Source organism: Homo sapiens, chromosome 9 (genome assembly GCF_000001405.40).
Source record: "Homo sapiens chromosome 9, GRCh38.p14 Primary Assembly".
NCBI classification, from domain to species: domain Eukaryota; kingdom Metazoa; phylum Chordata; class Mammalia; order Primates; family Hominidae; genus Homo; species Homo sapiens.
The window spans coordinates 5,877,181-5,890,545 of record NC_000009.12 but is presented as its reverse complement, the minus strand read 5'-3'; the positions used below and the strand labels follow the sequence as shown (position 1 = coordinate 5,890,545).

The 13,365-nt window shown below is 45.7% G+C and overlaps 1 protein-coding gene and 1 non-coding gene across 4 annotated transcripts in view, besides 1 other annotated feature; one reads left to right on the top strand and one right to left on the bottom strand.

Annotated features, from left to right (window-relative positions):
• BRD10 (bromodomain containing 10) overlaps positions 1-11,712 on the top strand; it is a 129,649-nt gene extending 117,937 nt beyond the window's left edge. For 2 of the 3 annotated variants that reach the window (XR_007061251.1, XR_007061249.1), the window contains exons 10-11: positions 8,871-9,084; positions 11,443-11,712. The gene's annotated coding sequence lies outside the window, so the exon portion shown is untranslated. Of the gene's footprint in view, positions 1-8,870; positions 9,474-11,442 lie in introns of those variants that run through there. The other variant, XR_007061250.1, reaches the window with a different exon arrangement.
• Positions 290-396, bottom strand: LOC124902341 (small nucleolar RNA U13). Its single transcript, XR_007061917.1, has one exon. It is a non-coding gene; the product is annotated as a small nucleolar RNA U13 (small nucleolar RNA).
• Positions 10,424-10,925: an enhancer, noted in NCBI's record as "H3K27ac hESC enhancer chr9:5879621-5880122 (GRCh37/hg19 assembly coordinates)". NCBI's record gives its function as "activates a minimal SCP1, AML or CMV promoter by ChIP-STARR-seq in primed H9 embryonic stem cells {active_cell/tissue: H9 hESC(primed)}" and the evidence as "EXISTENCE:reporter gene assay evidence [ECO:0000049][PMID:30033119]".
• Positions 11,713-13,365: the final 1,653 nt, after the last annotated feature.

Here is a 13,365-nt window from a genome sequence, read left to right as displayed (position 1 = left end):
AGGTCATATTCTACCTGCAAAAAGAAAATTTCATCTATCCCTTTCACATAGATGGAAACCCACTATCTCCAGTGGACAGTTAACACCAAAGGCATCACAGAGAACTCATGGAGCTCAGCTGAGGAGGATGCCCAGTTAAATTTGAACTTCAGATAAACAATGAACAGTTTCTTAATACAACTATGTCCCATACAATATTTTTAGGATAAATATGTCCACATATTCTATGGGACATATACACTAAAAGAGTTATTTTTTGTTTATCTGAAATCCACATTTGTTTTTCTCATGTCAGATAGGTAAGGTGCCCATGTCATTGTAACAAGGTTTGAGGGAGGCATATCTCACACGTGAACATGGAAACCCAATCATCACGCTTATGACCCACAAAAGGATCTGAAATCCAAACTAAACTGGGTTCCCTATTCCCTCCCTCATCTCCATCTCAAAGGGTTGAAGAGTCTTTAGGCACAGGTCTGGAGAGCATCTAGTCCCAGACTCTCATAATCAAGAAAAGGAAATAGAAAAATCCCTGAAACCTCCTCAGCTGAGCTCCATGAGTTCTCTGTGATGCCTTTGGTGTTAACTGTCCACTGGAGATAGTGGGTTTCCATCTATGTGAAAGGGATAGATGAAATTTTCTTTTTGCAGGTAGAATATGACCTACTTAGACATCAATTAGGTTGGTGCAAAAGTAATTGCGGTGTCGGACCATGAATTTTAAATCATTATAACTAGGCTCAAACACATTTTTTTTTTCTGAGATGGAGACTCACTCTGTCGCCCAGGCTGGAGTGCAGTGGCAGGATCTCAGCTCACTACAACCTCTGCCTCCCAGGTTCAAGCAATTCTCCTGCCTCAGCCTCCTGAGTAGCTGGGACTACAGGTGCACGCCACCACACCTGGCAAATTTTTGTATTTTTAGTAGAGACAGGGTTTCACCATGTTGGCCAGGATGGTCTCGATCTCCTGACCTCATGATCCACCTGCCTCAGCCTCCCAAAGTGCTGGGATTACAGGCATGAGCCACCGCGCCCAGCCTCAAACACATCTTTATTAATCAAAATAGGAACCATTGCAATGAAGACATTTTTGCCAATGAAAAATAAGTTTGTTTATTCCTGTAGCATACACATTCATGCTTCAAGATTCGATGAACTCTTGGAAAGCATTTTCTGCATCCTGCTGGTTGTGGAAGGATTTTCCCTGCAAAAAGTTGTTAAGATGATTGAAGAAGTGGTAGTCGGTTGATGAGAGGTCAGGTGAATATGGCAGATGAGGCAAAAGTTCGTAGCCCAATTTATTCCAACTTTTGAAGCATTGGTTGTGTGACATGTGGTTAGGTGCTGTCATGGACAATTGGGCTTTTTCTGTTGATTAATGCCAGCTGCAGGTGTTGTACTATTCGGTGCAACTCATTGATTTGCTGAGCATACTTCTCAGATATAATGGTTTCACCGGGATTCAGAAAGATGTAGTGGATCAGACCAGCAGAGACCACCAAACAGTGACCATGACCTTTTTTCGGTGCAAGTTTGGCTTTGGGAAGTGCTTTGGAGCTTCTTCTCAGACCAGCCACTGAGCTGGTCATTGCCAGTTATCATATAAAATCCACTTTTCATTGTACATCACAACTCAATTGAGAAATTCTTCCTTGTTGTTGTGTAGAATAAGATAAGACAACATTTCAAAAAGACCGTTTTTTAAATTTTCACTCAGCTCATGAAGCAACCACTAAATGAGCTTTTTCACATTTCCAATTTGCTTCAAATGCTGAACAACTGTAGAATGATCGACGTTGAGTTCTTCGGCAATTTCTAGTGTAGTTGAAAGAGGATCAGCTTCGATGATTGTTCTCAACTGGTCGTTGTCAACTTCCAGTGGCCAGCTCCTCATCTTCCAGGCTCTCATCTCCTTTGCAAAACTTCTTGAACCACCACTGCCCTGTACATTCGTTAGCAGTTCCAGGGCCAAATGCATTGTCGATGTTGCAAATTGTCTCTGCTGCTTTATAACTCATTTTGAACTCGAATAAGAAAATCACTTGAATTTGCTTTTTGTCCAACATTTCCATAGTCTAAAATAAACATACAACAAAGAACAAGTGATGTCTTTAGCAAAAATACATAAAGTGAGAAATGCCCATTAAAATGATGTATAACATAACCACATTTATTTAAGAATGTATTTAATATCAAACAGCAAAGTCCGACAGTGCAAAAATCACAGTTACTTTTGCACTCACCTAATAATTGACCCCAGAGCTGATTCTACTTAACATCATGATCTATCTTGGACAGCCCAGAAGCATTTCAGTGGGACACAACAGTCACCTTTGCTCACCAGCTCTCCATAGCCATTGTGAACAAACAAAACAAAGAAAAAAAACCCCACCGGAATATGACAGTCCTAGCAGCTCAAGACTTAGATTAAATGACCTCTAAGGTCCCCTTTCCCATAATACCTGAGGACCCATTCCTTTCAGATCCTGTGATTTTTCTGGTTTCCATCGTGAGCTATGGACAAAGGCTGTCCTGTGTAAGGGCAGTACCAACCCACCAGATACTGGATAGTCACCACTGAAAATGGTAAGGGAGAAAGAAAACAAAGAAGGGTTGATCTTTATTAGGCAAGCCAGGGAGAGCCTATCTGTAAAGGAGGGAAAATTTAAACTGAGACCTAAATGGTAAGAAGCAGTCAGCCATGAAAAGATGGAGAGAGAGCATTTCAGAAAGAACAACCAGTTGGAGACCTTGAGGCAGAACAATAGACCATGACTTAGACTGAGTTCCCAGAGTGGAGGCTATCTCAGGGAATTTTGTGCAAAAATTGGGAAGGATATAAGCCCCTTGTGTCAATAGATTTGGAGAGAGCAACTCCAACCTGAATTTCAGGGTTATGCCTGAAAATCCCAGAAAGTCCTGGTGGTGAGTACTAGTCTACAAAGAGGGATGCAGTTCTGAGCTGAAAAGTCCATTGCACTGAGCTGGGTTCTATAATAGCCTGGCCCATATATGACTGGTGGCAAGACCACAGAGGAGGGAGTACTGACCTGGATCTCAGGGCAAGGTGAAGTTCCCAGGTCTCATTCAAGTTCTCTGGTGATGTGAGCTGACTTGGGGATTGAGTGTGCCCTGGCATTCTTCCAGGGTGGAGACAACAGGCAGCTGGCATCATCCCCTCCCCCAGAGGATGCTACAGGACCAGACTCAGCATGCTGGGCACACAATGGCCAGTCTGGGAACATGCTCTCCAGCTTGTTTGAGATATTTTTTGGTGGGTGGGTTGGGGGACAGTCTTGTTCTGTTGCCCAGGCAGGAATGCAGTGGTGTGATCTCGGGTCACTGCAACCTCCACCTCCTGGGTTCAAGCGATTCTCCTGCCTCAGCCTCCTGAGTAGCTGGGACCACAGGTATGCACCACCATGCCCAGCTAGTTTTTGTATTTTTAGTAGAGACAGGATTTTGCTATTTTGGCCAGGCTGGTCTCGAACTCCTGACCTCTAGTGGTCCGCCCACCTCTGCCTCCCAAAGTGCTGGGATTACAGACGCGACCCACTGCACCTGGCCCTTGTTTGTTCTTTGAGCTCAACGAGGGAGACCTGACCAGCTCTTTCACAGGCATCCCTTTGGGTCTTTGAGTGGTTTGCAGCTTCTGAGGTGCCTGGCCCTTTCAGGGCTATGTGAACAGGATAAGCTGGCGATCGCTTCTTCAAATAGGGGTTCCCTGGGCACCTCAACTTGAAAAACCTACCACATCCTGTTTCCCGGAAGCCCCCTAGAAGTTCCCTCTAACTAGGCTCTTAGTCTCTGTTTTTGAGCCGGCCTTGGGCCTCAGAGTCCACACCAAAGCCAGCCCAAGTCAGGCCCTACCTGCCTTCATTTTCAACACTTCCAAGTGGCTTCCTTTTCTCCCCTGGCAATCTAGTCCCAAACTAACAGCAGGAGCTCTAGAGTCCAAACCACTTGCACTTCATCTCTTCAGTGTGTGTGACCTTGGGCAAATCTCAAACCTCTGAAAGCCCCAGTGCACGCATCTGAAATGAAAGGGATAATAGCAGCATCTGCTTCATAGGTTCATGGTGAGAGTTAAACGAGATCCTGTTGGAAGTGCTTGGTACAGCACGTGGCACAGAATACGCCTAGCAACAATAGTGTGAACTGTTACTGTGAGGCAGCTCAGCCCCCACACCAGCCCCAGGGTTAGGATTTGTACCTGCTAGACCTTGCTGGCCACTGACTGGTTCTCTGCTGCCACCTAGTGGGCTTGGCCACCTGGCATCACAGGCCCACCTCATGAAGGGGCCAGAGATGCCTCTTTGGCATCTGCTTACAGTGCTCAGGAGCCAGAATCCTCTTGACTCATCCTGCTTGGGGCTTAGGCCCTCTTCAGTGCTCCCCACAATATTGTGAGCTTTTGATCTCTCACACACCCCGCAGAGGTATTGCTACAAACGAGGGTTGATAGCCGGCTGCTCGGGCTTCCGCTTTCGGTCCCCGCTAGCCATGCGTCCACTGTGTTCCCTTTTGGGAAGGCTACAAGCCCCTGGCTCAAAAGATTTGGGGAAAACAACTTCTACCTGAACTTCAGGGTTATGCCTGAAAATCCCAGAAAGTCCTGTTGCCCTTTCATAGGAGGAGCTGAACAAACAGAACTGGCTCTTCAGAAGGCAGAGAAGGCAAGGCCACATCCCAGTCACTACTGAGTCCTCACCCCGTAAGCCTCACAGGTGCCTTGAATCCCAGCTCTCATTATTATCTGTGAGACCTTGAGCAAGTTAATTAACCTTTCTGAGCTATTCCGTCTTCATCTGCAACATAGGAATAGGGAATAATTACAGAATTGCTGTGAGAATTAAATGAGATAACATATGGGCCGGGTGCGGTGGCTCATGCCTGTAATCTCAGCACTTTGGGAGGCCGAGGTGGGCAGATCACCTGAGGTCAGGAGTTCAAGACTAGCCTGACCAACATGGAGAAAACCCGTCTCTACTAAAAATACAAAAAAATTAGCCGGGCGTGGTGGTGCATGCCTGTAATCCCAGCTACTCAGGAGGCTGAGGTAGGAGAATCACTTCAACCTGGGAAGTGGAGGTTGCAGTGAGCTGAGATCGAGCCATTGCACTGCAGCCTGGGCAACGAGAGTGAAACTGAAAAAAAAAAAAGAGATAACATACGTCAACTCATCTAGCACAGTGCCTGGCAAGTTGTTCATTGAGAAAGGCTAGTGCTTCTGCGAATTCCCTGTGAATGTACAAACAGTTCGGAGGGGGTGCCCAGTCCTTGGGGTGAGCCTATGAACTCATGGCCATGGCTAATTGTTAATCAGCTAACAAGCGCTTGCTGTGACGTAAAGAGACCCAGGACAGAGAGGTTCTGATGGTGAGGGGATAGTGGCGAGGTAGAGAAGGGAATAGAATCGAGGCATGGCTAGGCAGGGGTCGAAAGGGGAAGCCCCAGCAGCCAGGAGGGTGGAGGAAATGGAGGACCACAGGGACTCCCTCCTCCCTCAGACACCCGAGAGCAAGAGCTGTGGCCTGCTGGCCTCGGGCTGGCCTTGAGTGTGGCTCCCTCTCAGGAAGCAGCAAAGGAGGCTTCATCAGTTCCCGGGCTCTATTAGGAAAGGGGTTCCAGGTGAACACGGGCACAGAGCTGGCTGAAGTCTTGAGAACATGGCCCAAGTCTCGCAGGTGAGCAGAGAAGAGCACTAATAAATCAGAAACGTGGTAAATCCCATGGCCATTTGTGACTAGTCACAGGAAGGTTGAGATTACAGGAACGGATTAAAATGACCTTTGGAGTGGAAAAATATTGAAGAGTCAACACCAGGGTTCACTACAATATCTAATAATGCTAGAGCCACCCCAGATTCTTGTCTAGGGTACAGTGGGGGTATTGGTACAGAAGAGGCTTGAGAGGAAGATGGGCTGTGTTTGTGTCTGGAAGGTAAGTAGGGATCACCTTCATAGGCATGAGATGAAGGCCAGTCCAGTGGAAGTTAAGTAGGCATTCACCAACCATAACTTCGGGTGAGGACGGGAAGGTGACATCCCAGTGGTTTAGGGCTCAGGGCCCCAGACCGGTCTGGTGAGCTTCAGGGAATTGTGAGTCGTTCCATATGGCTGGAGCTCCAAGTGCAAGAAAGGGAGTGGCAGGCCTGAGGCCCCGGTCCTGGGCGCCACAGGGCCTGGAATACCACGCTGAGCCTTTGGACTGATCTTGTAGGCTGTGTTGAGTCACAGAACGGTTTTAAGCAGGGAAAAAAATGGGTTGACCAGACTTGCAGTAAATCTATTTTCCCGTGTCATGAAGATATCTACCTCCCAGGTGGCCATGAGGATTACCTGTATTGTTGTGTGTGAAAACATTGTGTAAACTGTAAATCATACCAATGTGAGATCTAGAAGCAGCAGCTTATACCTGAATGGCAGGGCTCTGGATTGGTGATATGAAGGGACAAAAAGGAGAGAGACTGCGCTCTGGGTTCTGATTTTTATTTAAATGCTTGCTCCAGCATTGACTGGCCGTGTGTTTTTGGTGTGTAAGACTGTCAACATCAGTCTCTTTATCTGCAAAATGGAAACCTAATAATTCTTTCTCTCAGGGAGGGTGAGGCCTAGTGTGTCTGGCATGGAGCAAACCCTTGTGTCAGTCCAGGTTCTTTGGTTGTGAGCAACAGGAACTCTGGCTACTTAAGAAAATTAATGGGAGGTTATGAAGGTGTCCCCAAAACTATAGAAAAATATGAGCAAGCCTGTCCCTAAGAAGGAATAGGGGGTGGGTGCAGTGGCTCATGCCTGTAATCCCAGCAGTTTGAGAGGCTGAAGTGAGAGGGTTGCTTGAGTCCAGGAGTTCAAGACCAGCCTGGGCTGCATAGAGAGATAGTGAGAACCTGTCTGTACAAAAAAATAAAATTAGCCAGGCATGTTGGTGCGCACCTGTGGTCACAGGTACTCAGGAGGCTGAGGTGAGAGGATCACCTGAGCCCACAAGAATGAGGTTGTAGTGAGCTATGATTGCACCACTACACTCCAGCCTGTGTGAAAGAGCAAGACCCTGTCTCAAAAAAAAAAAAAAAAAAAAAGAAGAAGAAGGAATAGGATGAAGTTGTTTTGTGGGATACAGGTAGCAAGAATTCATGGATGACCTTCCAGGTTGCTGCCACCAGAATGAAATTAGCTTTGTTCATGTTCATCTTTGTCTGTGTACAAGTTCAGGTTCCTTGGAGAATCTTGCATCAAACTAAATAATACACAGAGAGAGGTTCTCCAAAACAAAAGATGTTTATTTAGGAATAAAGCATTGCAATGGTAATGTGCCACAGCAAACTATGTGCATATTTAGGGAAGTAAAGGAAGACAAGGGTTTTGTCTTTGTTTTTGTTTTTTTTTATACTTTAAGTTCTAGGGTACATGTGCACAGCGTGCAGCTTTGTTACATATGTATACATGTGCCATGTTGGTGTGCTGCACCCATTAACTCGTCATTTACATTAGGTATATCTCCTAATGCTATCCCTCCCCCAGCCCCCCACTCCACAACAGGCCCCGGTGTGTGATGTTCCCCTTCCTGTGTCCAAGTGTTCTCATTGTTCAATTCCCACCTGTGAGTGAGAACACGCGGTGTTTGGTTTTTTGTCCTTGTGATAGTTTACTGAGAATGATGGTTTCCAGCTTCATCCATGTCCCTACAAAGGACATGAACTCATCCTTTTTTATGGCTGCATAGTATTCCATGGTGTATATGTGCCACATATACACCTTTGGGTATATACCCAGTAATGGGATGGCTGGGTCAAATGGTATTTCTAGTTCTAGATCCTTGAGGAATCGCCACACTGAGGAAGACAAGGGTTTTTAAAGGAAAAGTGAAGAGGATTACATACTTGTCCTGAAATAATTATTTTGGGCTACAAAGATCAATAACATGGGTGACTTCAGTGTGAGACTGGACAGGCAGTAATTAGGCAGTTGTCCTTGCAGTATTTTTTGTGTAAGGTTGTGATGGCCTTTGTGCAAGGCTGTGGTTTTGCAGTCTTTTGTTATCAGGCATACAAGTATGAGAAGCCTCTTTCATTTGTCAGGGTTCAATTTGTCAGGGTTTTCTTAACATTAGTGACTCCATTTTGATTCTGACTACTTTCACACTTGTTTGGCTAGCTTGGGTCTCATGCGAAATCCTTGCTCAGGCATAAAGTGTCTAGAGGTGGGGTGTAAGGGGTGGTATTTAACACCCCATCAAGGCTAAGGCAACAGGGAAGGAGTAATTCTTCAGGAAGAATCTAGATTGCTGTCACCAAATTAAGAAGTAAGGGATCCCACAGAGACAAAGACAGAGATGCCCTCTACAACATTTGGCAAATGGTGACCATCACAGTTACACAGTACTGGGTTCGTTGAGCTAGGATTTGTCCCTGAGAAGTCTTCCTAGTCTTTGCTGTTTCCTATTAAGCACTGTGAGAAGAATGGGGTCGCACATCTAAAAATCCTGCAGGAGACTATGGAAGGTTGCCGGGAGCTCCCCGTTCATATTCTCATCCTACCACTTACTGCATGACAGTGACATCACCTGTTCATGTCTGACACAACCACTGGTTCCTGGGCTCTGTGAGAGTGGGGATTACGTCTTTCTGTATCTCCATTGCTTGGCGCAGAGCCTGCCACATGGTAGAGCCTCAGTGAACTAAACCGTCACTCAGATCTCATCTCTAGTGACTTCCTAGGAAGTAGCACCATCAGAGAAATCAGGATGATATTTCAACACTAAGAACAATTGTCTGTTTCAGTGTATTTTTCTATTTCCAATTTTGAAAGAAATCAGCCTTTCCCTACCCAGTCACCATCACCCTAAATATCATATCCTTCTTGACAGGTATCGCTCTGAAGACTTGATGAAGGTTTGCTGACAAGAAAGGGCTTACTCACTGTACACAGCCCTTCAATAACTCCTACCAAGCACGGTGTTCCAGAGGCAGAGGGCTCCTGAGGGCAACCCTGAGGGTTACCCAGGCCCCAGCACCACCTGGGAGGACATCCCTGGTCTCCAAGCCTCCCTCTTCCCTGCTTAGCATCAAAGAACTAAAGGGGTTAGGAAAGTTCTTAAAAGTGATGAGCATTTTAACTGTTAGGCTGTGGACCACCCCGTGTCTCTGGAGGCACTTTTTCCAGTCTTCCCTTCATAGCGGCCAACTCTACAATCCCACAAGACCTGGTCTTTTAGGGCTGACCGTTTGAGATTCTTATAGTTAGTTTTTATATTTACAGAGAGAGGCCATTTATAAGGAAGGCCTTTAACTGTTTTGAGAGGGGCATTTGACTCTCCCATAAATCCTGCTCATTTCTGTCTCCCTGCTGATACCCAAAAATACCCGGAAGTAGCCCCCAGACCTTAAATAGTTGAAAAGGGTGTCAGGGGTGGGGGAAGGATTGTGTGTGTGTGAAGTGTGTAAAGGAATAAACCAACCCTTTGACAGAACTTCTTATCCCTGGATGAGTTAGGTGATTTCCTCCACCTTGGGTGAGATCTTATAATTTTAAGAGTAATGGGCCGAGCGTGGTGGCTCATGCCTGTAATCCCAGCACTTTGGGAGGCCGAGGCGGGTGGATCATGAGGTCAGGGGTTCGAGACCAGCCTGGTCAACATGATGAAACCCCATGTCTACTAAAAATATAAAAATTAGCTGGGCGTGGTGGCGCACGCCTGTAATCCTAGCTACTCAGGAGGCTGACGCAGGAGAATTGCTTGAGCCTGGGAAGCGGAGGTTGCAGTGAGCTGAGATGGCACCACTGCACTCCAGCCTGGGCGACAGAGCGAGACTTCATCTCAGGGAAAAAAAAAAAAAAAGTAATGTTGGAGGAAAGGGAAGGGGAGGGAAAGGGATCAGGTAGAAACTGAAATTGCCCAAGGTCAGAGTCATGTTTTCTAATTTCTTCCTGACCATGTCTGTGTGGGGAAAACTAATTCAGACTTTTTAAGAGCTAAAGAACTTCAGTGTTTTTTTGTTTGTTTGTTTTTTGTTTTTGTTTGTTTGTTTGAGACAGAGTCTCACTCTGTTGCCGAGGCTGGAGTGCAGTGGCGGGATCTCAGCTCACTGCAACCTCCGTCTCCCAGGTTGAAGCAGTTCTCTCCTGCATCAGCCTCCTGAGTAGCTGGGATTACAGGCGCGTGCCATGACGCCCGGCTAATTTTTGTGTTTTTAGTAGAGACAGGGTTTCACCATGTTGGTCCGGCTGGTCTCTAACTCTTCACCTTGTGATTCGCCCACCTCAGCCTCCCAAAGTGCTGGGATTTGGCTTGTTTTTTTATTTTTTATTTTTAAAGAAACTTCTGGTGGGGTGTGATGGCTCACACCTGTAATCCCAGCACTTTGGGAGGCTGAGGTGGACAGAACTCTTGAGGTCAGGAGTGAGACCAGCCTGGCCAACATGGTGAAACCCTGTCTCTACTAAAAATAAAAAAAGTTAGCTGGGCATGGTGCTGTGTGCCTGTAATCCCAGCTACTTGGGAGGTTGAAGTTGGAGAATCTCTGGAACCCGGGAGGCGGAGGTTGCAGTGAGCTGAGATCATACCACTGCACTCCAGCTTGGGAGACAGAGCGAGATTCTGTCTCAGAAAGAAGTAAGTTCTACGTAGCATTTTTGTCTTGTTACATTAAAAAATAATTCAGTAGAACTGACTTATTATCTGACAGGGAGATCCGAGCTATGGGATTTTTTAGAATTATAGTCAGAGGTCGGATAAATCCATTATCTCTGACATTCTGCAGGTAAATAAGCTAGAACCTAGAGAGGCTGACCATGTGAGTCAGATTATCTGGTTCTGTATCTCTGCATTTCCTTCCAGTGAGTCATCCCTGAGCTCATTTAATTGGTCCAGCCCAGTGTCTGCTTGTCAGTTAATTAAGAGAAGCTTCAAGGGCCCAAGCATATCTTAAAGAGCCAGCGGTGGCCACCAGACCAGTGTGGGCGGTCATCAAGGGTCAGGTTCCTTTGGGGCCGCTGGCATTGGGGATTGGGATTGGGTTGATCATGGGTCAACCAGCCCTTTAGGGATGAAAAGGAGGCAGGGTCTCAAGGGGACAATGCCTGCCAGCAGCCGGCTGTGTGGGGGCTGCAACTCCCATCAGGCTTTGATGTGTTTCTTTTTTCTCTTTTTCTTTCTCTCTTTTTTTTTTGAGACAGAGTCTTGCTCTGTTGCCCTTCCCAGGCTGGAGTGCACCATCACACCCGGATAATTTTTTTATTTTTAGTAGAGATGGGGTTTCACCATGTTGGCCAGGCTGGTCTCGAACTCCTGACCTAAAGTGATCTGCCCACCTCAGCCTCCTAAAGTGCTGGAATTACAGGTGTGAGCCACCGCACCCAGCCTGATGTGTTTCTTGATGTTTCTTTGTATTCTTCTGGAAGTCCCTCTGATGTTTAGCAAAGTCTTTGTAATATTTCAGCCAGCATCAGCTCTACTGTGAGTTTTAATGAGGCGTCAGAACAACCCTGGAAGTCAATAGATGGCAACAGCAGAGAGTAAAGTGAGAACTCCATGGGGGAGAAGAAACCCTCAGGAGAGGCAGGAGCTCTGGCATCAACCATCTCTCTGCCCAGAATCTCCTTCCAAGTTGAAGCTTCAGGAGTTTGGGTTCTTCCAGGGTACATTATTGGTCCGATAAGATTGGAAAACACTGAACTAAATAAAGTTAAACAGGTTTCTTCATTACAAACTCTTCTAACATCCTTAATCTACTGATATACCTTATGAATCTTCAAGAGAAGACAGTTGCATTGCCAGCAGAGTTTCTCGAACTATTTAATTATGAAGAAAGTGTTTGTTGGCTTTGGTGCTCCAAGAAACACTCTTTGGGCCACATCATTATGAAGAGTCATTATAGATCCCACCTCTTGTGTGATTGATGGGCCTATTCCTCGAAGTAGTTAACAAAGAGACTAAAATGTAATCCCTTTCCACAAGGAGCTCAGCCCATAAATATCTACTAAATGTATGTCTTCTTACTGAGTGCCAGAAACTGAGCAAACTGATTATTACATGGATTATTTCATATTCTTCTCAAATCCTCACAGCAGCGCTGTCAGGTAGGTGTGATTATTACACCCCTTTTACAGAGGAGAATGAGGCTCATGAGTTTAGATAATTTAGGATTACATAAGTAGTAACTGGCAAATGGCCCAACTCCCATTCTTATACATGGTGCCTCCCCAAGGGGGACACTTCTCAGGAACTAAACACAGTCCAGCATAAGATGCCTTTTAAGTATGGTTGCTCTTCCCCAGGGTCGGTTATTTATTTAGTAACATTGGTTCCAGGGACCCTCCATGTTGATTATTCCTTAATGTTCTCAGGAGCAGGGACTGACTCATTCACCTTTCCATTATCAGTAGGGACTCAATAGATATTTCTTGAATGAATAAAAGTAAATAAATAAATGAAGACACTGATTTTTAACTGGTCCTGGTGATAAATAATTTCTAACAGAGGCATTGCCCAGATCCTTTCAACTAGTCCATAACATTTCTTGAGCTCCTATGATATGCCAAGGACTGGATTCAGTAGTCACCAAAGCTTGTTGAGTTGCTGTTTCCCTTTCTGAACCTCTAATAGTCTACATCACATGAACACATGTTTTCGAAGGCAGACCTTCTTCAGACAATACATGGACAGCCTTAGGCATAAATCCCTTTCCTGTATGAATTCCTCTATAGTAAAAATCATATTGATTGCTTAGGGAGGGGGATACTGAGTTAGTGGTTAAGGGTGTGAAGGATAACTCCTCAAATTAAAGAACTGCACGAACCCTTAACACTCAAAGGCTGGGAAGCATAGAAGGTATTTAATAAGTGCTTGTTGAATGAATGATGCAGACATGCATGAGGCAAGAATGAGGCAAGCTCTGGGCGCCAAAGACAGAGAGGGAGCAGCCACCTTTTTCTTAGTAGCTTGTTGAGGAAACTGCTTGCTGGCCCCTGCCCAAGCCCATGGTGTGGCCATTGTGCATTCTGCAGGGCACATAGTCTGATATGTGGGGTGCTCACAGTAGAAGCCACCTCACACCAAGAGACTCTGCGTGGGCCTTTCCCCTGAGAGATAACTTGAATGCGATGGTAAAATAGAAGCCAGGGGTTTAAGACCAATCTCTGCAGTTTATTAGCCCCTGGATAAGTTACCTAACCATTCTGAGCCTCAGTTTGCTCAACTGAGAAATGAAGATCGTAATTTTTAATTTAGAATTCTTCTTATTTTTTTAGGTCCTTCCAGATTGCAAAGAAGAGAGGCACACAAATGGTTGCTCAGATGAGGTAGATAAGTTAATTATTAGGAAGAACAGGACAATTTCATAACTGCTTCCTGGAGACCTGGG